Source organism: Homo sapiens, chromosome 8 (assembly GCF_000001405.40).
Source record: "Homo sapiens chromosome 8, GRCh38.p14 Primary Assembly".
Taxonomy (NCBI): Eukaryota; Metazoa; Chordata; class Mammalia; order Primates; family Hominidae; genus Homo; species Homo sapiens.
In genome coordinates this window covers 74,609,793-74,635,589 of record NC_000008.11, presented here as the reverse complement: position 1 = coordinate 74,635,589, position 25,797 = coordinate 74,609,793, and the positions used below count along the sequence as shown (strand labels likewise).

The window sequence follows — 25,797 nt, the reverse complement described above, 5'->3', positions numbered from 1 at the left end:
ATGACCCCAGTTTGAATTTCGAACTTTATTTCCCTCGACTCTAGCCAAGTGGAACAAATTGTGTTCTGTGCATGTCCTTTAATTTATTGTCTTTATGGTTTTGCTTACAGCTCCTTTCACTTGTAATTCTCTTTCTTTCTATATCTGTGGATCCCAAACTTATCCAGTAATTAAGGACCAGTGCAAATGACATCTCCATTGGGCCTCCAAATACCCAAAGAGCTGAAAATGTACTCTTTCAAATATCTCCTAGACACCTGACAAACTTCATCTCATGTTATATTTATTTATGTATGTTTAATGCAATTCACTAGAGGTAAACCTTCCTGACGGTAAAAAAAAAAAAAAATCTGTTTTTGTGCTTTCTGTACCTAATATAGTGATTTGCACATAATAGGTACCCATAAATATTTCATAATTCTACAATTGTGGAACTGTTATAAGTATTCAGTCAAATGAGACCATAATACCCTTTTGGTATGCTGTTCTCCCTTTTTCTCACATTTCCATTCACCCCCAACCCCCCAAATTTCTCTAAAATCCTAATAAGTCATTTTCACTGTAACTTACCTTGTTCTTCATGGAATTATTAGATAAAAATTAGACTAATGAATATACATTTTCCTTCTTTTGAATAAAAATAAGCCATATTCCTGACATAATGTCCATATCTGACATTCAATAAATAATTGAGGAAAGAGTGGATCAATTAATCAATCAATCAATTGCCCTGCCAAAATCTCAGTGAATCTAGCATGACTAGCATAAAGCTATGGACCCCTCAGATTTCGTTGTCCGTTTCTGTCTTGCGATACCTATGAAGTAGTGGTAGATGTCTCCTGATTGTATACAGTGGTCTTATAAATTGAATAAGAGCAGTGTATTAACAGATTACATGATGTTGCTTCCTTAAAGATAATGTCTTTACTCACTCATGGTAACAAAAGTGTAATTTTGACTATATTAAGCCATATAAGTCCCCAAGGGGACTCATCCCAAGATTAAGCACTGAGTAAATATTACAATAATTGCTGCTGCTACTTGAAAACGATAGTAAAACTCAAAAAAAAATTTAAGGTGAAAATGTATTAAGAATGTATTAAGAAATTATTTTGCAAGAGTTCTAAATTATGACAGCTTATAAGTAAAGATACAGGTGACGGGTTATAATCTGTCAAATACTACATGATGTCAGCAACAAGTTTCTCCTGCCTTTGGCCCGACTATTTGGGCATAGGTTGTCTATGTAAACCTCTGCCTTGTTGTCTCTGCCTCAATTAATAGCTTACTAATACACTGGTAATCTGGTCTTTCTAATTCTGGGAACTGGCAAGTCTTTTCAATCCCTTTCTCCAACCTAAACTGAAATCTCTTTCCTGAATGCCTGTTCTAAGTATTGCTAGTTCCTGAATTCTCCAATAGCATGCCCTCCCTACATTTCAGGAAGCCTAAATCTGAAGAGCAAGCATGCTTTCTACAAGTGTTAGAATAGATAGTAAAATGAGAATCAAGCCTCTCCACCTTACTGAAATAACTTAATGTCCTCCTCCTCCTCCATTAGGCTCCCAGATATTTGAGGAAAGAAACTATTAATTTAACTTTCATTCTCCCTCTTAAAAGAGGCTCGGTACATCTAATGTGCCCAGTGATTGTTGAATAAGCCAATGAAAGACTGCATTAACCAACTTAGAAATGTACAAACCATTCTTAAGTTTACAGAGCATTATATCTCCATTATGTTCTTCATCCTTGTAGTAGTCAAAGGCTCATAGTTACATCTCTGAATGTCTTTATAACCAGCCAATTGCATACCAATACATCTATCAGGACAATCAACAATATAAGCCTAGAACTAAGTTACTATCTTTAGCGTACTCAGCATCAATGCTGAGTGCAGCCCCAATGAACAGTACACATGCAAACAAATACCTAAACAGATGTAACAGAACTAGTAGTACATTGAGCCTAGGAAACGCATAACAAGTACAACTCATGCAAGTGACATGACAATGCTAGAAATCAATCTCTGCCGTCATTTAGCAAGGTAAGATGGCATTCTGAGGAGGAGCCTTGTGATTAGGGAATGGGAATAAGCCAGAACAACAGCAACAACAAAAGTAGCTTGTGAGTACCTGGTACCAGAGTGCTGACTTTTTCTTACTTGTGCCTGACAAGTCATAATGCCTAAGAACTACCACCAGGGGTGTCACAATGGAGAGTAACGTACACTAGAAGCACCTAATGAGGAATTAAGAGTGGGATGTGTGCTGGAAAGGGTTCACACATATAATCCCAGCACTTTGGGAGGCTGAGGTAGGAAGATCGCTGGAACCCAGGAGTTCAAGACCATCCTGGGTAATATGAAGAGACCCTGTCTCTACAAAAAAACAAAAAAGAAAACCATTAGCCAGGGGTGGTGGCACATGCCTGTGGTCCCAGCTACTCAGAAAACTGAGGTGGGAGGACTGCTTGAGCTTGGGAGGTTGAGGCTGCAGTGAGCCATGATCAAGCCACTGTACTACAGTCTGGGCAACAAAGCAAGACCCTGTCTCAAAACAAACAAACAAACAAACAAATAAAAGAGTAGGATATATCATATAGTCATGGGAGAGGAATTATCAAAGTTGAGTCCTGAAGGTTGAACCAGACTAGTGAGGAGTGGTGAGATGAGAGCCAGAAAACAGAGACAGCCTGGGAGTCATTGGCTATATCATAAAACAGAGACTATTATAAAAACAGTGAGGTAGGGGTCCGATCAACACGAGCTGATTATGCCAAGATAAGAAGTTTGTCTTCAGAGAAAAGAGCCATGTATAATATTTCTTCCAGTTCCCATGATAATTATCTCACCCAGGGAAATGGGGAAAGGCTAGCACTGGCAACCTAAATATTCAGAATTACATACAGAATATTGGTGAAGGATAACATTAAAGTCATACCAAATATATTTACATTTAGATGTTGTATGTGTTTTACTTTCAAATATGCAGCAAATTATAATTTTTAAGCCTGAAGTTTAAAATGCTTTTATTTCCAGAATTAATATAACTTTTTTCTCCCTAAGTAAGTTTTTTTTTCAATCCCTAGGTAAGATAACAGCACCTCAGAGAAGATTTGGAAAATAAATGAGCTGATGAGAGGTAAGTATAGCACTCAGGGAGAGACACGGGCCAAGCAGGCTCTCCCCTGAAAGAAACTGCGGGGCCACTATAGGATAATAAGCCCCAATCACAAACGCAGGCTCTGGTGGCCACACATCCTGCTGGTGGCACCCTGAGACCAAACTTGCTCCTCTGGATCTCCCTGGCGAGAGTCTTGGAGAAACCTGTGCAGTCATGCTGTGGTCCAGGAGAAGCCACTATCAATACGTCCTCCGACAGCCACAGTCAGCTCAAGGGGAGGGATGCCCAGATCATAAGGATCGCCTGCAAAGGAGCAATGAGTGGAAAAATGGCCTCATAGAGGTGTTGTGATGTCTAAGCTAGAGGGCTCTCATCCTCTTCAGCTTCTCTTGCTGAGTATGCTTGATATACTCCTAAGTAAAATAAGGAGGCTGCTATGGTCTAAATGTTTGTGTCCCTCCAAATTTATATGTTGAAACTGAACCCTTAATGCAATAGTGTTAAGAGGTGGGATCTTTGGGGAAATTATTAAATCATGAGGGCCTCATGAATGAGATTTGTGCCCATATAAAAGAAGGTGAAGGGAGCATGTTTGTCCTTTTCACCATGTGAAGACACAGCATTTGCCCCTTCTGCCATGTGAGGATGCAGCAAGTAGGCACCATCTCTGAAGCACAGCAAGTCCTCACCAGACACTGAATCTGCTGGTGCCTTGACCTTGGACTCCCCATCCTCCAAAAATACAGGAAATAAATTTCTGTCATTGATAAATTACCCAGTCTAAGGCATTTTTGTTATAGCAGCCCAAACTAAGACAGAGGGTTTTTGAGAAGTTATTACTACTGGTCCAAAATCTTTCTACCAATTCACAGAAACCATCACATCAACAGCTGTTGAAGTACCTTAAACAGGTAAATATATGATTAGGTAATTATATTAAACCTCTATGTCATAAAAGGTAGAAGAATCTTAAATGTTTAAGAATCAAAAAAGTAGAAATATGCCTCTCAATTTCAAGTCAAAAGAATAAAAAACAAATCAAGTAACTCTCAAAGCTTTCAGAAAAAAGGATAGAACTAATTATTCAAATACACCAAACATTGTTTTCTATTTATTCTTCTATACCAGAAACCATTGCTGCTATAACTAGCAATAATCTCTTAAGATTTGTTGTTGGAAAAGATGCAGATGTATATTTAATTTCCCTCCTACTCCACAGATAACCAAATGAGGAGTCTGGCTGTCACAGGGACTATCTAGCCCGCCAGGCCAAAAGGCCTGTGTTTATTGTTAGAGTGGCCTGAATGAGGTGGGCATAGACTCTGAGCAGTATACCTTACATGATAATTGCTCTATCCTCAAACTACTCTAATACGAAAAAGTTTCTTTTTTATTACCAACCATAACTCAGAGAAACCCTATCATCCCTAAAATCTTGGATATGTGGAAAATGGAGAACGATATTTGCCTTTAAGTACACATAATTACATTTAAGCATAGATGAGAGCACATGCCACTCAATAAATATATGAAGCTGGGCAAATTATTGAATCTCTGAGCTCTCGTTTCCTCATTTTTACAAAGAAGATAGCAAGTCAGTCTGAGGATCAAATGAAGTAGGCTACAGGAAACAACTTGCATAGTAGCTGAGGTGTCAGAGGCACTAAATGGTAGCTCCTTAACACTTTCCACTCTTCTTGTTGTGAATTGTTAATGTAGAGCAAACTAGAACAAATGGCTAAGGAGATGTAGTTGCTATGTTATGCCATCCGTAGCTCACTGCCAGGAATGTCCAGCCAGTGTTTTGTCCTTCAGTTTCCAGAGAACTTGTTTCTGAAGCTCAGTCGAATGTTTTTTGCTAGCTATCTATCCCTAGAGAGTTCCTTATCATCAAAGTTTTTTAAGCTGGATTGCCCTTTTTTCTTTTTTTTTTTTTTTTCAGAGAAATCTTTTTGCACTTTTGTCCTTTTTCTGAAGATTCTTTCCTCTTTCTGGAGTAAAAGGCTTGCCAAGATAGCCCTCTTAACCATTTCCTCTTGGCTCTTTACCTTCTCTGTGCTTGGACAGAAAAATGGACATTTGCAAATATTAGGACACCCTTCCAAGCCTGACTTGTCTCTTGCCCCAATATCCAGAAAGAGCAGCAGCCCACTGCCTGGGAGAGAAGAGGGAAACTTCATTTTCAGTCCATTGATTAAATATGTCAGATTTTCTCTCTTGGAAACAATGGGTAAGGAGGGGAGTATTCTTGGGAGTCTATTTTGAGCTGAACAAAAATAACTGTTTTGATTTAGGAAAAAAAATGTGTTTAGCATTATTATCAGATACAACCAGCACATTTTCACTTGTTTTTCATTCTGAACAGACCTGAACTTCCACTATGACATAAATTCATTGTCCTAGCTTTTGAACATGCCTTCGAACAACTCTTTTCTGTGCCTGTAATTATGTTTTCTCCTTCTTCAGTCAGAGAATTCCTAGTATATTTATCCATTCAACAAACATTTATTTGGAGAAAGCCTGGCTGGATGCATGGGTGAGGGAGTCATGAGGACATCAGAAGGTGGTGCTGAGTTGCAGCAGAGGAGAGTGGACTTTGCTTAGAGAGAAATAACAGTTGTGAGCACAGGGCTAAGGATGTTGCTGGGGAAACATCCCTATTCAAGCTTTGTCAAAGAGGAGTGACCATTGATATATTTATTATTCATCTCCCAGTCACTCTTGTGGTTGGCCAACGCTGTTTTGGTGCACCACTCAGATACCTTGTACTGGGCCAATGCACCACCCCCAGCTTCTGTGAGTGTTGGCTGCAAAAGGCTTCCAGTAGCTCCCCTTCTCCAAAGAATTGCCCTCAGCTGACAGGAGTAAGCTCTCTGAAAGTTAAGTACCTATGCTCTCAAGGAGAGCCCTGAAGCCTATGACTAACACTATACTGGAATGCAAAAGGCTGGCCCCTTGCTGTTTCCTCTTTTCATACCTTCCTTTTACTCTTCCATCCTCCTAGACCACTTCCAACACTCCCCCACCCTAGGCATCACCTACTGTAGAAAACCATCCTGAAAGTAATTATCTGCAACCTGGCTAAGTGCCCCTCTCTGCTTGTTTCAATCACTTTGAAAGTTCTAATGTCAAAAATACTTCCTGGCTCTTAACGTTTGGCTTCAATAAATATTTGCTGAGTCAGGGAATAAAGGAATGAGTAAACTGCTATGAAAGTGCTCATTTAATATATTTAACAGTTTACCGTGGCCTAACAGCATAGAGCCTCTGTCATCAAATAAGTTGCTTGCCAAAAACTTAAACTTGTTAAAAACGTTTATGTGATATTTTAATGAAAGAGTATGCTAGGCAGTAAATTAGTTTCATGAGCAAATCTGTGTGAAAGCAACCAACACACTGGCTGACATAAGAGGAACTCAAAAAGTCCTCGTTCAATAAAACAGTGAACTGGAGGGGGATTTTCCTTTAAAAAGCCTTCACAATTTTTTTCAAGTAAAATGCTCTCTCCCATCAGACTACTGGAAAACCATGGAGCTCCTGTCTATGCCATCAAACAAGATACCAATTTTTTTTTTCTTTTTCCAGCAATTTTCTGCTTCCTGGGCCACCACAGTCTTCTTTGCTGTTTTTGATTGCAACCATTTTCAGAGAAGAATCAACACCAAAGGTCAGACTTACACAATTTCATTGTCTCTTGAATTATACCTTCTAATATTTCTCTAACTGCAACTCTATTAAGCACCTTCTTTATCCTACTACTGAACTCCTAGAAAGTAAACTTCAATTCTCATACAGTTGGTAACCTTTGATCATCACTCAGAATTAAAAAACACCTTCTAAGTACTTTAGAGCCTGAATTGTGGAGATCCAGACTAATCAGAAGTCGCCCTCAAAATGCCCAATTTTCCGGTTTGCCAATTAGGCTTTGCCCCAAGCAGTTTTTACTGAATTAGCTGAACAAGGAGCTAGGCTGAAAAAGGAAGCTCACCACCACCACAACCTTCCACATCTATCGGCTTCTGACAAAATATTTTTCATCTCCAACGTTCATCTGAGCCACACGAACATAGTTTGATATTTTAACCTGGACTTAGAGATTATCACATTTTTTTCTTCCTCTCATTTCTCGAGGTAGTTATGTTTTATTTCTTTGGACCATCCAAGCCCTTGAACGAATGTTTAGTTTCTGCTTTCATACAAAGACTTTTGTCCAAAGAGTTCCTGGGTTCTCCAGATGCTTCGTTTCCTTTGGTATTATGCTTCCCTCATCTCTGCATCTCTCACCAATCCCCAAGGCCATATCTTTTGTAATAGGTATCTGTTCTAATTTTGAACTGGTCTTTAATTCAAATATGAGTTACTCTCTCTTCCTCGTGCCCATGTTAACAATGACAGGAAGCAGAACAAGGCAATCAGAAGGCATCAGTGCACCAAAGTCCTCCAAAACCCCAGCACTATGGAAAAGGAGAGCACAATCCTTATGCCATGTTCAACTTAAGCCAACAATCAACTCAGCCCGTCAGCCAGGCTACATGGCTACTAAGCTTGATAGATTTCAACTTAAAGGCCCTTTAGATCCTCCACATCCCTAATTGTAATCTTGTTAACATGGAAGAGGTCATTGAGAAAGTAGAGATTTAATCATTTCATTTTTTTAAAATGCTTATGTCATACTTTAATTACATTCAGACACCCTGGAGGATTCCTTAAATATTCAGGCATGTGTAAAGCAACCAACACACCAACACACCATTACATGGACAACCACATGTTAAATGGATAACTGACACAATTATTCGGGTCATATAGAACAAATTCACTTTACTCCTACCTGTCATTATCAATCTCACATCAAAGTGGAATTTGGCACTTTTTAAAAAAATCCGTGATCTGAATTACTTAAGTAATAGCTTTAATTTTCCCTTAAAAAATCTAAACCAAAAATAGGAAAGTGTTGCCTGAAGATTTTTCAAATAGGCATTAAGTATATTTCATGCTACTGGCATTATTTCTTCTCAGAATGCTTCTACAGTATCCAAATTATTCAAATAATGATTTGGGTTTGGTAGAATTTTTATGAGCCCATATTTTCAGATATTCAGCAACACTCATCAGCCATTGGTCATGTGCTTACTAAGTGTCAGTTCTCAATCTAGAATAAATAACAAAAAAAGGCAAATGTCTTGCTCTCATGCAGCTTACAGTAGGGAGTGGGAGAGATTAAACAAATGATGGTACTTATGAATGTATGATTATAAACTGTAATGTGTCCTGAAGGAAAGGTATATAATGTCTTGAAAATATAAAACAGCAGAACCTGACTCAACTGAGGATTTTTCTAGATGGCCTATGTTCTGAGCTCTGAAAGGTGAATATGTGTTGGAGACTGTGGGCAGGGTGAGAGCCAAGAAGGGTACAGGCCATGTTAAAGGACATGACAGAAGCCACCATGGCTGCCCAGCCAGAGGAGAGTAGAATATTTTAAGGCTGGAGAATTAAGCAGAAAATAAAACATAAAAACTTTAAAGCCATATTAAGGATTTCTGTTCTTTTTCCTAAGAAAAATAGTAAGATATGAAAGGTTTTCAGCAGCCTGTGTTATAATCTGGTCTGCATTTGTAAAAGGTCAGTCTGGCTGCAGTGTAGACAACGTACTGGGGAATGGAGGAGCATGCAGAGTTACAATGTAGGGATGTCCAGGTATGAAACGATGGGGACTTTCACCTTGGCCTGTCAGCAAAATATGGAAATGCCAGATAACTCAAAAAATACAGAAAGAGATGGGTGCAGATGCTGACAATGTCTTTTCTATTACTGGTAGAGAATGGTAGTATTCACGGCATATAGAAGATGAAGCATCTTGTTGCTTAGAGCCCTGAAATTCAATCTTACGTCCTGGAATTTTTGTCCTAGATCTGACTTCAATTTTCCATTCTATATCCTGAGAATATTCTCTATATTCTCAAAGAAACTGGCATAACTTTGCAGGCACCTTGCCTAGGAGCCCTCTTACTTCCATCCACAGAGAAGGTACTACTAGTTATAAGAAAGAAATGGCCCAATCCCTGTACTTTAGCACACTAATGGAAATAAACTACAAATTTCTGAAAGGAAGTTATCAACTCAGCCCTTAGTGGCCAAGCCAGGACCTAGGGGTATAGGAAATGAGGCAAAATATTTTTTATGACCAGCAGCCTGATTTGAAGATCCTAGGAGGTCACCCCAGGAGAAGTGGCTCTAAAGAGGTATCCAGTGATAATTGCTGGCAGCAAAAAGGGAGGAGAACCCAGCACTTGCTGCTCTGCTCTGAGTGAGCCAAGGAGGTGCTGTTCTCCCGGGGCACCCACTTCAACAGCTGTTGTCCAGTGCTGCATTGTAGAGAGGGCTGCTGGAGACGGTCCTGTTTCAGGTGTCCAGGGAGTGCTAGTGTGGAGGGTGGGGGAAGAAAGGAGCCTCTTTGGGGCTTCTGTAATTAATGTTATAAGTGATGTTCCCAAATATTCATCTTTGCATTTTGGCTAATTTACCATTTAAAGGCATCCAAGATTGCTGTAGGGTGACTGCTCTTATAATGTATGCATAATAATTACAGATTATTGTTCAAAAATTTTATCAACTTGAAATGTTTGATGTGAGAAAGGCAAATTGGAATCCAAAATCAACTTATATTATTGCAAGAATCTTTAATATTACATTTGTCAATGAAAGGGGAAAAATTATAACAAAATACAAAATATAATTTCAATTGTCAAAGTCTTTAAATGATTGTAAGAATATTCTTTAACTTTATTAACTATTTGGGTAAACAATTTCTTGATAATGGCATCTATTGGAATTTTGGACAGATAATCACTGAAATAGAAATTTTGTGTAACTCTCTAAAATAGAAACAGAAGCAAGCTCTTCAAAATTTGTACTTCAAAATTTGTGCTGTTTTATCAAAATCTACATTTTGGTAAAATCTACATTTAAAATTTTACATTTTAGTTTTTATAATTATATGTCACCAAATACTATATAAATGCCTTCAAATCTTTTCCATAGCTTGCCTCAGTGTGCTCTACAAATACTATCATTTTTGTGCACTTCATAAAAGGTATTCACGGCTGGGTGCTGTGGCTCATACCTGTAATGCCAGCACTTTGAGAGGCTGAGGTGGGAGGATTGCTTGAAGGCAGGAGTTCAAGACAAGCCTGGGCAACATAGCGAGACTCTGTCTCTACAAAATAAAAGTTAAAAAAATTAACATGGCATGGTGATGTATGCCTGTAGTCCTTGCTATTTAGGAGGCTGAGTCAGGAGGACCACTTGAGCCCAGGAATCTGAGACTGCAGTGAGCTGTGATCACACCGCTAAACTCCAACCTGAGCAACAGAGCAAGACCCTGTCTCAAAAAAAAAAGGTATTCAGGTTCCATAACAGCAGGTTACAAGAGCCAAAATAATAATAATAATCACAATTTTTACTCCTGGATCCATATGGTTTGTGAATACGGGTTTTCATCCTTTACTGTACTCATCTGTGCTCTGTCCAACTTTCCATGATCTTCTTCCTTAACTCCTTCGCAGCTAAATCTCAAAAAAGAGAATCATATTTCCTCCTTCCTTTGCATTTCTGGTTGAATTATTTTACAGACGGAGTGAGAAAACTATACAGAATTCCACAGGCAGGTATGATCAGAAAGAACACACCTCAAAGTATTTAAGTGTTAGGAATACATAAACAAATACAAATAAATGCACAAGTGCCAGGAGGCCTGAAAATTTTAAGGGAAAATGCCATATTAAAATGACTCTAAAAATCGAAATTTCAGCAGGTTGATCAAATGCATTTACAAGCATTTTTGTCAATGGATAAATACTGCTTTTCAATACATGGCAAGTATGCAAACTCCAGAAAATTACTGTCTCACAGAATGTCAGGTAGGAGATAGTTGGGAATCTGGATTTAAAAACAACAGCAACTAAGGGAAGAGCCAGTTGTGTACTGAAAGATATGAGAACATGATTATAAGCAAATGCTTCATTTCAATAACAGACAGGTTCCACAAAAATTCTCCAGTGTATTTACAGAAAGTCAATCTGATCAAACCACACTGGTTGCCCAGAAGAAAGATCAAGAATATGTTTGAAGTGAAATCAACCCCCTTGGAACTTTAGACAAAGTGACATAAGCCCAGAAACTTGGCTGTGGTACCAGTGATGTGGAAAAGAATGATATGCTTTCAATTTGAAGAGAATCACTTGGCCCTTGGGTGGTGCCCTAAAAGCTATACAACAGTTTGTGGCTAATTGTTCCCGGAAAAAAATGGAAAATCAGTTGGACCAAAATCTCCATGATTTCTATCTTTGCTGAAACTAAAACATATATTAGTTCTCTTGGTAAAACTAAAATATTACAAGCTGGCTCTTTTTGGTCATGCCATAAATAGCTTTTGGAAAGGTACTACATCCAGAATGCCAAATGTAAAAGGGAATATAACTGCTTGGCTCCACTGCTTCCAAGATGGGTAAGAAAAAGTACCTTTCTAATTTCATGATTAAAAATTTTAGCTTTTTAACTTTGTTCACCCTGGCAACCTTTAACAAGACTTCTCTTTCACTGGCCTAATCAATGTTCAATATCCCTTATATACAGATCATCAAGCCATGTAGCAATTGAGATAAAGACCTAACATGAAGAATTCTATTCTGAGATCCAGAAGAAATGAATCACAGACCCAGTTTGTTTCTTTTCGCATCTTTGTCATACTGAATACACACCTAGCCTTCTCAAGTCTTTGGTTACTTAGCGTGTTCAGAGTATGCTGACCACAGTCATAGAGAGAAAAAACAAGTTTTATGTTAGTACCTGACTCCACTGAAAGATGTGCCATTTAAAAAGTCCTAAAAGACCTTTTTAATAATGACATTGTATTTATTTTAGAATAAAATTTAAAATTAAAAAAACACATTTTATCATGATCTTTAAGTTCTGAACAGTTGACGTTCCTGCCTATCTGCTCAGTCTCCTTTTCTACTTTTCTCCCCGACACTGTGTACACTTCAGTGACATGAGTACATCTTCTGTTACATTGACTGCATGTTCTCCTTCTTGCCCCAGGGCCTTAGCACATGTTCCCTCCGTGTAAAATGTCCCCAATTGTCACCCCCACCTAAGGAAATTTCTCTGAGCTTTCAATTTTATTAAACTGACAAATAAAAATGATATATATTTATGTGGTACAGCATAATGTTTTAATGTATGTATATATTGTGGAATGGCTAAATCACGCTAATTAACCTAACAATCACCTACCATTCTTATCTTTTTTGTGATGAGAACACTAAAATCTACTCTTTTACAAATTTTCAGATATACACTAGGTTGCTGTTAAATATACTTACCATGGTGAACAACAGATCTCTTGAACTTATTCTTCCTGTCTTACTGAAATTTGTGTTCTTTGACCAACATCTACCCAATACCCTGCCCTCAGTCTCCTTGTAACCACTACTTTCTGCTACTGTGACCCTTATAAGTGAGATCATGTGGTATTTATCTTTCTGTGCCTGGCTTATTTCACTTAAGGTAATGCTCTCCAGGTTCATCCATATTGTTGCAAATGACAGAATTCTATTTTTAAGTTTTTGAGGAACCTCTCGGTGGTTTTCATAATGACTGTACTGTACTAACTTACATTTCCACCAACAGTGTGCCTCGTTTTTTCCCCGCATGCTCACCAATATTTGTTATTGTTTCTCTTTTTAATAATAGCCATTTCTGATAGGTAAGGTGATACCTCATTATGGCTGATGATTAGTGATGTTGAGCATTTTTTTCTTTTTTCGTCTTTTCTTTTTAAAATTTTTTTTCTAATTTTTTGAGACAGGGTCTCACTCTGTGGCCTAGGCTGGAGTGCAGTGATGAGATCTTGTCTCACTGCAACCTTCATCTCCCAGGTACAAGCAATTCTCATGCCTCAGCCTCCCAAGTAGCAGGGACTGCAGGAGCATGCCACCACACTCAGCTAATTTTTGTATTTTTAGTAAAAACAGGGTTTTGCCATGTTGGCCAGGCTGGTCTGGAACTCCTGAGCTCAAGCTATCCACCTGCCTCAGCCTCTCAAAATGCTGGGATTACAGGCATGAGCCACCACACCCAGCCAACATTTTTTTTCATATACATGTTGACCATTTATATACCTGTTGTTTCATTTACCTTTTCGAAAATGTCTGTTCAGAATCTTTGCCCATTCTTTAAATGGATTATTTATTTTCTTGACTTTAAGTTATCTGAGTTCTTCATATGTTTTAGATATCAGTCCCTTATTATATACATAGCTTGCAAATATTTCTTCCCATTCCATAGGTCATCTCTTCACTCTGTTGATTGCTTTCTTTGCGGTGCAGGTGCTTTTTGGATTGATATAATCCCGTTTGTCTCTTTCTGCTTTTGCTGCCTGTACTCTTGGGGTCATACCCAAAAAAAATCATTACCCAGACCAGTGTCAAAGAGCTTTTAACCTATGATTTCTTTTAGTAATTGTATAGTTACAGGCCTTACATTTGAGTCTCTAATCCATTCTGAGTTGGTTTTTGTACATGGTGTAAGATAAGGGTCTAGTTTCATTCTTCTGCATGTGGGTATATAGTTTTTCCAAAACTATTTACTGAAAAGATTGTCCTTTCCCCACAGCGTGGTCTTGGCAGCCTTGTTAAAAATCTGAGCTCTCCATTCTGTTCCGGTGGTGACATGGTTTGGCTCTGTGTCCCCACACAAATCTCACCTTGAATTGTAATCCCCACATGTCAAGCATGGGACCAGGTGGACACAATTGAATCATTGTGGCTGTTTCCCCCATGCTGTTAATGAGTGAGTCTCACAAGATCTGATGGTCCCATAAGCATCTGGCATTTCCCCTGCTTGCACTCACTCTGTCCTGCTGCCCTGTGAAGAGGGTGCCTGCTTCTCCTTTGCCTTCTGCCATTATTGAAAGTTTCCTGAGGCCTCCCAAGCAATGCAGAAATGTGAGTCTATTAAACCTCTTTCCTTTAAAAATTACCCAGTCTCAGGTATTTTTTCATAGCAGTGTGAGAACAGACTAATATAGTAAATTGATACCACAGAGAGTGGAGTGCTGCTATAAAGATATGTGAAAATGTGGAAGCAACTTTAGAACTGGGTAACAAGCACAGATTGGAACAGTTTGGAGGACTCAGAAGAAGACAGGAAAATGTGGGAAAGTTTGGAACTTCCTAGAGACTTGGAGGGCTCAGATGACAGGAAGATGTGGGAAGATTTGGAGCTTCCTAGAGACTTGTTGAATGGCTTTGACCAAAATGCTGACAGCAATATGGACAATGAAGTCCAGGCTGAGGTGATCACAGATGGAGATGAGGAACTTTTTGGCAACTGCAGTAAAGGTCACCCTTGCTATGCAAAGAGAATGGTGGCATTTTGCTTCTGCCCTAGAGATCTGTGGAACTTTGAACTTGAAAGAGATGATCTAGAGTATTTGGTGGAAGAAATTTCTAAGTGGCAAAGTGTTCAAGAGAAAGCAGAGCATAAAAGTTTGAAAAATATCCAACCTGACCATGCAATAGAAAATAAAAACTCATTTTCTGGGGAGAAATTCCAGCCTGCCACAGAAATTTGCATAAGTAATGAGGAATGGAATGTTAATCACCAAGACAATGGGGAAAAGGTCAGAGACCTTCATGGCAGCCCTTCCCATCACAGGCCAGGAGGCCTAGGTGGGAAAAATGGTTTCAGGGGCCCAGCCCAAGGCCACTCTGCTCTGTGCAGCCTCAGGACATGGTGCCCTGTGTCCCAGCTGCTTCAGCTCCAGCCCTGGCTAAAAAGGGTCAGCATACAGCTCAGGCCATTGCTTCAGAGAGTGCAAACTCCAAGCTTTGGCAGCTTACACATGGTGTTGGGCCTGTGTGTGCACAGAAGTCAAGAATTGAGGTTTGGGAACTTCCACCTAGATTTCAGAGGATCTAGGGAAATGCCTGGATGTCCAGACAGAAGTTTCCTGCAGGGGCAGAGCCCTCATGGAGAGCCTCTGTGAGGGCAGTGCAGAAGGGAAACGTGAGGTTGGTGACCCCACACAGAGTCCCCATGCGGGCACTGCCTAGAGGAGCTATGAGAAAAAGGCCACTGTTCTCCAGACCCCAGAATGGTAGATCAACCAACAGCTTGCACCATGCACCTGGAAAAGCCACAGACACTTAATGCCAGCAGTGAAAGCAGCCAGGATGGGTTGTATCCTGTGAAGCCAGAGGGGCAGAGCTGCCTAAGACCACGGGAACCCACCTCTTGCATCAGCATAACCTAGATGTGAGACATGAAGTGAAAGGAGATAATTTTGGAACTTAAGGTTTAATGACTGCTCTATTGGATTTCAGACTCGCACAGGGCCTGTAGCCCCTTTGTTTTAGTTAATTTCTCCCATTGGAATGGCTATACCCAATACCTGTATCCCCATTGTATCTAGGAAGTAACTAACTTGCTTTTGATTTTACAGGCTCATAGGCAGAAGGGACTTGCCCTGTCTCAGATGAGACTTTGGATTTGGACTTTTGGGTTAATGTTGGAATGAGTTAAGACTCTGGGCAACTGTTGGAAGGCATGATTATGTTGTGAAATGTGAGGACATGAGATTTGGGAGGGGCCAGAGCAAAAAGATATAGTTAAGTTTTGTGTCCCCACCCAAATCTCATCTTGAATTGTAATCCCCATAATTCCCACATGTCAAGGTGGGACCAGGTGGAGGTAATTGAATCATAGGGGCTGTTTCCCTTATTCTGTTCTTGTGATAATGAGTGAGTCTCACGAGATCTTATGGTTTTATAAGTGTCTGGCATTTCCCCTGCTTGCACTTACTCCATCCTGCCACCCTGTGAAGAATGTGCCTGCTTCTCCTTTGCCTTCCACCATGATTGTAAGTTTCCTGAGGCCTCCCAAGCAATGCAGAACTATGAGTCTATAAAACCTCTTTCCTTTATAAATTACTCAGATATTTCTTCATAGCAGTGTGTGAATAGACAAATATAATTGGTCTATGAGTCTGTTTTTGCCAGTACCATGCTGTTTTGATTACTATAGCTTTGTAATAAATTTTAAAATCTGACAGTGTGATGCCTCCAGCTCTGTTCTTTTTGCTGTAGATTGCTTTGGCTATTGAGGTCTTTTGTGGTTCCATACAAATTTTAGAATTTTTTTTTATTTCTTTAAAAAATGTCATCAGAATTTTGATAGGGATTGAATTTTATTTGTATATTGCTTTGGGTAGTATGGATATTTTAACAATATTAATTCTTCCAATCCAGGTACATAGGATATATTTTTATTTGTGTCTTCTTCAATTTCTTGCAAAAATGTTTTATAATTTGCAGTGTACAGATCTTTCAGCTTTTTAAAAAAATTTATTCCTAAGTACTTTTTGTAGCTGTTCTAAATGGGATTGTTTTCTCAAATAGTTCATTGTTAACATATAAAAATGTTATTGATTTTTGTATGTTGACTTTGTATAATGAAACTTTACTGAATTTCCTTGTTAGCTCCAACAGTTTTTGTATAAAGTCTTTAGGGATTTTTTTATATAAGAGCATGTCATCTACAAACAGAGACAATTAAACTTTTTCATTTCCAGTTAGAGTGCATGTTATTTCTTTCTTTTGTCTAATTGCTCTGGTTAGAATCTCCAGTACTATGTTGAATAGAAGTGGTGAGAGTGCGCATCTTTGTCTTGTTCCTTATCTCACAGGAAAATCTTTAAACTTTTCACCATTGAGTTGATATTATCTGTGGGCTTGTCATATACAACTTTTATTTTGTTTTGGTACATTTCTTCTATACCTAATTTGTTGCAAGTTTTTATGATGAAATAATGTGAAATTTTGTCAAATGCTTATTCTGCATCTATTGAGATGATCATATGGTTTTTGTCCTTCATTCTGTTAATGTGATGGATCACATCAAATATACTCTTAATGTACTATAAGCCCCCTCCCTTCCGGCTCTCATTATCATTATTTATACATTTAATGAATGTTTACAGAGTGCTGACTATGTGCCAGTTACTTGGGGCACTTGGAATAGAACAGTGAACAAAACAATGTCCCTTTCCTCATGGAGCTTTTATTCTGATAGGAGGAGAAAATTAATAAATGGGCAAATTGATATGTAAAAACTGATAGTGATAAATTCTATTAAAAAATAAAATTGGGCAAGAGGACGGAAAATGGTGAGCAGGTTCAATCTTGATCAAGTGGTCAAAGAGTGCCTGCTGATCAGAAGCATTTGAGAAAAGAGAGCCCTGAGGCAAGTTTCTAAATAGTGCTTAAAGCGATGGAATTGGGGGCCATCACATGGTGAATAGATGCATCTGGAGAAGCAGAGAAAAGGTTCAAGGACTGAATAGTACGGCACTTCCCCATTTAGAAGTTGAGAAGGTGAGTCTTGTGCAGCCAATGAGACTGAGAAGAAACAGCCAGAAAGGTAGAAGAATCAAGAATTGTATCCATCACTAATCATCAGAGAAATACAAATCAAAACCACAATGAGATACTATCTTACACCAGTCAGAATGGCTATTACTAAAAAGTCCAAAACAATAGATGTTGGCAAGGATGTGGAGAAAATGGAATGCTTATGCACTGTTGGTGGGAATGTAAACTAGTACAACCTCTGTGGAACACTATGGAGATTTTCAAAGAACTAAAAATAGAACTACCATTTGATCCAGCAATCTCACTACTGGGTATCTATTCAAAGGAAAAGAAATAATTATATCAAAAAGATGCCTGCACTTGTATGCTTATCACAGCACTATTCACAATAACAAAGTAATGAAATCAACCTAAGTGTCCATCAACAAAGAACTGGATTTTTAAAATGTGAGACAGATATATACACGTATGTGCACATATACATATATATATGTATATACACCACATTTTTATATAAAATGTGTGCATATATGTATGTATGTATACACACACACACACACACACACACACACACACCCAATGGAATACTACTTAGCCATAAAAAATAATGAAATAATGTCTTTTGTAGCAGCATGGATGGAACTTGAGGCCATTATCCTAAGTAAAATAACTCAGGAACAGAAAAACAAATACTGCATGTTCTCACTTATAAATGAGAGCTAAATGATGGGCACACATGGACATACGGAGCAGAATAATAAATACTGGAGACTCCAAAAGTTGGAAGGGTGGAAGGGAGTGAGGATTAAAAAGTTACCTCTTGGGTACAATGCTCACTATTTGAGTGATGGGTACACTAAAATCTCAGATTTCACCACTATATGATATATGTATGTAAGAAATCCATACTTGTACTCCTATATATTAAAAATTAAAAATGTTTAAAGAGTTGTATCTAAAGGAATAGTGAGGAAAGTAAGTATTTAATAAGAGAGTAGAGTATGATCAACTTTTTCAAAGGATGTTCATGGAATGTAAACTTTGTAAGGGCCAGGATTTTTTTTTTAATCTTTTTTTCTTTTACCTTCATAGCCTCAATACCTGAAACAGAGCTGGCATGTGGCATATCCTCAGAAACATTTGCTAAATGACACCTAGTCTATAGGAGGAGGACTCATTCTTAACCATTAGATTTAGCCATGCAGAAGTCAGATCAAGAGTAAACAGAGCAAGAACAGTTTTGGTGCTGTGATGGGTCAAAAGCCTGAGTCAGGTAGGTTTAAGACAGAGTACGAGGGAAAGAAGCAGAGAAAACAAGTCTATCTACAGCCTTTAATGTATGTTTACTTCCTTCATTTACAATGAAATCTCACCACATATCCATAGTGCCTGGTATACAATTGCTGTCAGATTATATTTTTATATGAATGAAATGAAAATCAAAAACAGGGATGCAAAATAGAATACTGCAATTATATAAACATAACGTCCTCAGAGTATAGGGACAGTAATACTTAAAAAGAAAGGAAGGTGAGACATGGTATTAAGCATAAAATTTAACAGACATGATAAATAATTATATATATAAAATATAGAAGAATCAAAGCATTTGCATTTCTCTGATGGCCAGTGACGATGAGCATTTACATGAAAAAAATGCTCATCATCACTGGACATCAGAGAAATGCAAATCAAAACCACAGTGAGATACCATCTCACACCAGTTAGAATGGCGATCATTAAAAAGTCAGGAAACAACAGGTTCTGGAGAGGATGTGGAGAAATAGGAACACTTTTACACTGTTAGTGGGACTGTAAACTAGTTCAACCATTATGGAAGACAGTGTGGCAATTCCTCAAGGATCTACAACTAGAAATACCATTTGACCCAGCCATCCCATTACTGGGTATATACCCAAAGGATTATAAATCATGCTGCTATAAAGACACATGCCCACATATGTTTATTGCAGCACTATTCACAATAGCAAAGACTTGGAACCAACCCAAACGTCCATCAATGATAGACTGGATTAAGAAAATGTGGCACATATACACCATGGAATACTATGCAGCCATAAAAAAATGATGAGTTCATGTCCTTTGTAGGGACATGGATGAAGCTGGAAACCATGATTCTGAGCAAACTATCGCAAGGACAGAAAACCAAACACCACATGTTCTCACTCATAGGTGAGAATCGAACAATGATAACACTTGGACACAGGGTGGGGAACATCACACACCAGGGCCTGTTGTGGGGTGGGGGGAGTGGGGAAGGATAGTATTAGGGGATATACCTAATGTTAAATGACGAGTTAATGGGTGCAGCACACCAACATGGCACATGTATACATATGTAACAAACCTGCATGTTGTGCACATGTACCCTAGAACTTAAAGTATAATAAAAAAAAAAAGAAGATGAGAACACAAGACAATGGAGTTGCCAGTCACACTGAGAAACTGAAATGCAGAGCTAGTTATCAGGGAAAATGTAAATTATATTTTGAAATATTGAGTTTGAAGAGTGGATACAGTAAAGTGAGATGAAAGAACACTGGACTAAAAGGAACATGGCTGGATTCTGTACCCACCTTCTGCCAGTCCTCTGTTTTCCTCATCTTCAAGATGGGGATGAGGCACAGTGGACTCAGCTTCTGGCTGCAATAATCTTTGATTCTATGAAAGGATCTCACATGTGAAGATGAGCTACTCTCAGGATGACATTAGAGCTAGAGTTGTGAAAGTAGGTGTAATTACCAGGATGGTGATAGCTGAAGTTCAGAGAATATTTGAGTTTGTAGGGAAAAGCAGAAGATGGTGGATTGAGCCCCGTGTGTCATTAACTGGCTCCATAGGGAGGTACAACCCACACAGCTGGCTTCCTTACCTCTCTTCTCTGACCTATTCACTTGGCTGGTGCTGTCAATGAAGTAGGCTAGAGAGCAGCTGTTCTAAGGAGGAAGCATGGGAGAGACAGCAAATCGTTAAAGAAAATAAAAGACTAGGAAGATGGTTAATTCACCTAAAGCAAAGTCAAATTAAAATTGGTTCTTCCTTTGATGCTTTGAGCTATAGAGGAATTCTGAAACCTTCTTAAGAGGAACTTAAAAAGAAAATTCAGGGATATTTTGTCTCATGGGGAAAAACTGCATTCAATCTAGTGAAAAAAAAAAAAGATGAAATTGTCTTTTCTGTGTCATCCCTAGTGGTAACAGTGTCAAAAATATTCATCCACCCTATATCAGAGCAAAAAGTTGGTCTGAAAAATTCCTATTGTTAAAATATGCTAGATTAAAAGAAGTAGCATATATTTTTTAAATTGAGAAGAAAGGAAAGGAAAGAGAAAAAAAGAAAAGAAATAGGAATCAGAATAGAAATAAAGAAAAGAAATACAAGTAAAGGAAAATATTATAAGGGGAAAGCAATGTAAAGAAAAACTACCCAAGGATTAGAAGACAATTTGCCTTTGAGAAGTTCAAGTTATAAAAGAATTTAATAAGCATATGAATTCAAGAAAAACTAGAACCCAAATATATGATTTTTTAAAGAATGAGACAATAAGTTGAGAATTTAAAAGCACCAATATAGATCAAATAGATCAATTATAAAAGCAAGGACCAGGATAGCCACTGTCAAAAATCAAATCACTGTCTTAGAGAACAGGTAGAAGATAATGATTCTGAATGCAGAGAAAAAAGACAAAAAGATCAAAATAAATAGAGGAAATATTTTTAACAGATATTTTAATAGGCATAAAAGGCCAACAAAGATTATCTGACTATATAATTTGTGTTTTTAAAATACTGAACCTAGTAGGTGGATCAGAGAAAGGATTCAATAATATTCAACTCTTAGAAGTTACTGTTGCCACTGTTTCCAAGCCAAAGGAGAAGAAAGAGAAATAATTTAAAATGTTAGGCAACTGAGTAAAATCACAACATTTAAATCATCTGAACAACTATTTGAATCCTCTATGTTACTTTGAGGAAGATGTGAAATCGTTTATTAGGATTTCTCAAATTACAGGAAAAAGTCCCTGATAAAGATTCAGAAAACTAAATATATAAAACTACTGTCTCCATCAATTAAATTCATGTAAATATCTAAAATTCAATGCATAACCAAAATACACCTAATTCATGGCCAGTAGCTTCTGACTAGATCTGACCATCATATTTAAAAAAAACCTCAAAACCAGATCAACAAATCCTGATAATGGCTTAAAAATTGAATCCCTGCAGGCCAGGCATGGCAGCTTATGCCGGTAATCTCAGCACTTTGGGAGGCGGAGTCGGGTGGATCACGTGAGGTCTGGAGTTCAAGACCAGCTTGGCCAACATGGCAAAACCCCGTCTCTACTAAAAAATACAAAAATTAGCCGGGCGTGGTGGTGGGTGCCTGTAATCCCAGCTACTTGGGAGGCTGAGGCAGGGAGAATTGCTTGAACCCGGGAGGCGGAAGTTGCAGTGAGCCAAGATCCTGCCACTGTACCCCAGCCTTGGTGACACAGCGAGACTCTGTCTCGGGTGAAAAAAAAATGAATCCCTGCCATCAAGCCTCTTAGGCTATTTATCTCCATCCCATTCAGTTTAGTGCCTCATGCAGATGAAAGAAACACAGTCATTGTCACTGGCCTAAAACACATGGACTCTCTCTTTGCAAATGGTATAGCTGTTCTGATTTCAAAATCATGAATATCAAGAATATTATAGTTGATCATCATTGTATGCCTTACCCTTCTTGAATACTAAGCTCAGATTGTCTACAATATTGTGTGATGTTCATATAGTACCAGTCACTCCAAAGTGCTAAAAGTATATTTTGAGAGCAAGAAGAAACACACTTGCTATATTTGTAGTTGCCGGTCTCCAATTCTTTCAGCCTCAACCCAGAGATTTCTGTCTAAGCATTTTAGCCCTCATAACTGAACCTCTACCCACAAAACTGTAGCCGTGGCCTCTCTCATCAGCAACGCTCTCCCTTTTCTCCCTTTAGTGAGGTTTCACTGTCTGATTCAAACAGCTGTTTGTCCATTATCATATTTGTCTTCCCACACAGTGCAGCTGCACTCAAAGATCTTTCCCACCTTCCACTCCAGTTCTGGATCCTTTTCTGGCTCTCCACTTGCTCCAAAGCTGCCACCTTTGTCTCTGGATCATGGGATCTCTCGGGAACTGCAGAAAAACATTTTTGTTTAATAGATACGTATTAGATTATTTTTCCTGCTTCTTTTACTACACTCACATGAAGAAAGAAAAATAACTAAAATGTATTAAAAGCAATATGTTTTTACAGCATAAAATGACTTTTAAGACTTAATAAAACTAGTAGTTTAGTTATTCAGACAAATGGTCATTTTCCAGACTTTCTAAAGGTAAAGATGATTAGAAGGATACTCCTCTTTTCTTCTATGGCTAGCCAAATGATAACTCATGCTTTGACTGCATTTTGGTTTTCCAGATTACATGTATATAAATTACCTAGTAACGAGCATGACCTCTGTCCAAGCAGAAGGCAAGCAGGGGAGAAGATTTAGCTGCTCAACTACAGTTATTCTCTCAACCCAAGCTAAGGTATGTCAGTTCTCTATTAAAATCCTGGCTCTTTTACCTCAGAGTGAGCTTAGATAGAAATGGTGGAGCTACAGACACTAATAAGTGAAGATATGAGAAATGCTGAAATAGATACCTCTAAACAAGTCTGCAGGACAGTTCTCTGAATGAAAGTGGACCAACTCTGAATGGAAGTGGACCAACCCAATTCTCTCCACTTTCTCACTTGTAATTCTCAAGGATACCTGTAGAATGTGCTGGGAATGGAACATTGTGAGATAAAGAAGAGGTAGCTGGAACAGTCCAGGCTCTGTTCCAGTTGGCCCTAGAAACAGGGTGTCCTTCAGCACTTTTGCCCAAGGTGTCATGCGGCCACTGGGGTACAAAGCCCAAGGCAGGCGTTTTACACCTGTGGTGCAAGTGGAGCACTTGAAGATAAGACTCTGTTCACCTTAAGTAGCTTTCCTGAGCTTCGGGGGATGAGCTTGCCCTGAATCCCAGGCTTTGGTTGTCCCTTGCCGTCTATCTGTAAGTAACAAATTTGGTTCATGTAACTTTGTGTGAGTGTTCTATCACACCCAAGTCAGGCAAACAACTGGTGCAGAGTAAACCTGCTTCACAATTTCCTCTACTGGCATTCCAAATAGTTGAACATCCTATCAATCATGATAGGTGGTGTATGGATGGATGAATGGATGGATTTCTGCAAATTTACATGAGGAGCCATAAAGCTGAGGGAACAGATAAATGAAAACCACAGCTTAAGAGATTTATAATCATGAAACATTACATTTTGTTCGTAGTGTCCTTACAAAGTAAAAAAGAAAAGTATTATGTATTATATAATTCTCCTTGTCTAAATAAATAAAATGTACTATTTATGAGAGACTTTCTGAAGCAAGATTATTAAAGAAATGTGTTTTTTACATTACAGCAGGGGATGTTAACAGACATCTTGCAAAAGGCTCACAAATACTATTCACATGGCCATTTAGGAAGGGTCATTTTAAAATCAACTATTAATCAAATTAAATGGCATGTAATTTATGTAATTTTTTTAAAAATCGCCAAATTCTTTCAAAAAATAGTTTTACTGCTTTATATTTCCACCAACAGTATATAAGAGTTCCAGTTTCTCTTCATCCTCTCCAACATTTGATGTTGTCAGTGTTTTTAATATAAGATATTTGTAATAGGTGTGCAATGGTATCTCATGGTGTTTTACTTTCCATTTCCCTAATGAAAAATTGATGTTTAGTGTTTTAATGTGCTTATTTGCCATTATATATATTTTCTGATGTAGCGTCTATTCAAATATTTTGCCAATATTACATTATTTTTATTATTGAGTTTTGAAAGATTTTTATGTTCAAAGTATAAACCCTTTATCAGATATATGATTTGCAAATATTTTCTAGCAGACTGTCACTTATCTTTCACTCTCTTAATAGTGTCTTTCTAAGAGCTGTTCTTCATTTTGATAATGTTCAATTTATCAATGTTTTATTTTGTGAATTATGTTTTTGGTATTATATCTAAGCAGTCTTTACTTAATCCAATTTCCTATGTTTTCTTCTAGAGATTGTGTATTTTTAGCTTGATACTTTTTGGTCTATAATTTCTTTTGAATTCATTTTTGTATATGATGTAAGGTAGGCAGTGGGGTGTTGTTATTCAATTGTTATTCAATTGAATTATTGATATTCAATTGTTACAGCAACATTATTGAAAAACCTATCTGTTCTCCACTGAATTGCCTTTGGTTCCTTGTCAAAAATCAATTAACTGTACATGTGTGAGTATATTTCTGAACTCATCATATTTTATCCTCATGCCAATATCATACTGCTTTGATTATTGTAGCTTTATAAAGGTTTTTGAAGGCAGGAAATGTAAGTCTTCCAAGTTGCCTCTTTTTTTTCAGAGTTTTTTTGGCTATTCTCAGTGGTTGGCATTTCTACATAAATTTTAGAATGAGCATGTCAATTTCTATTAAAAAGAAAAGGACTGCTGAGAAATTTATAGATTAATTTAGATACTTGACATATTAACAATGTTGAATCTTCCAAACTATGAACATAACTCTCCTTTTCATAAGTTTTAAAAATTTTTTCTCAGCAATATTGTATAGTTTGTATTTTACAGGTCTTGCATACCTTTTGAAGATTATTCTCTATTTCATAAGTAAGAACACTATTGTATATGATATTGAATTTTAACTCAATTTAAAATTATTGATTCCAAGAATATACAAACACAATTAAATTTTGTATATTAATCTTGCATCCTGCAACCTTGTTAAATTCACACATTATTCTAGTATCTTTTGAAGATTCCATAGAATTTTTTTTTTGGATGATTATGTTGTCTGCAAATAAAGAACAGATGTAAGCTGAGATGATTGATTTCAGACATTTTTTCTTTTCCATTACAGGTAGTTGGTGCCATACATTTCCCACAGGACTACTATTTTCCAATATCAACATCTTTAATTTATTTATTTATTTTTGTTTTAGTGCACTAGCTGGAAGTTTCGATATAATGTTAAATACAAAGGATGAGAGTAAATATTCTTACATTTTTCCTGGTCTTATGAAGAAAGAATTTTCTTTCACCATTAAGTATTATGTTGTCTGTAGGTTTTTCACATATGTTCATAGTGGGTTGAAGCACTCTCTTTTT

At 37.7% G+C, this 25,797-nt stretch overlaps 2 long non-coding RNA genes across 3 annotated transcripts in view; one reads left to right on the top strand and one right to left on the bottom strand.

The window, feature by feature from the left end:
- MIR2052HG (MIR2052 host gene) overlaps nt 1-25,797 on the bottom strand; it is a 158,596-nt gene that overhangs the window by 122,763 nt on the left and 10,036 nt on the right. For both annotated transcript variants that reach the window (NR_197229.1, NR_033830.1), the window contains exon 2: nt 22,650-22,737. This is a non-coding gene — a long non-coding RNA (MIR2052 host gene). The remainder of the gene's footprint in view (nt 1-22,649; nt 22,738-25,797) is intronic.
- On the top strand, nt 2,258-25,797 carry LINC03071 (long intergenic non-protein coding RNA 3071). Its single transcript, NR_183468.1, has 7 exons — nt 2,258-2,355; nt 3,088-3,140; nt 6,708-6,789; nt 10,409-10,524; nt 18,650-18,830; nt 23,024-23,136; nt 25,550-25,797. It is a non-coding gene; the product is annotated as a long intergenic non-protein coding RNA 3071 (long non-coding RNA).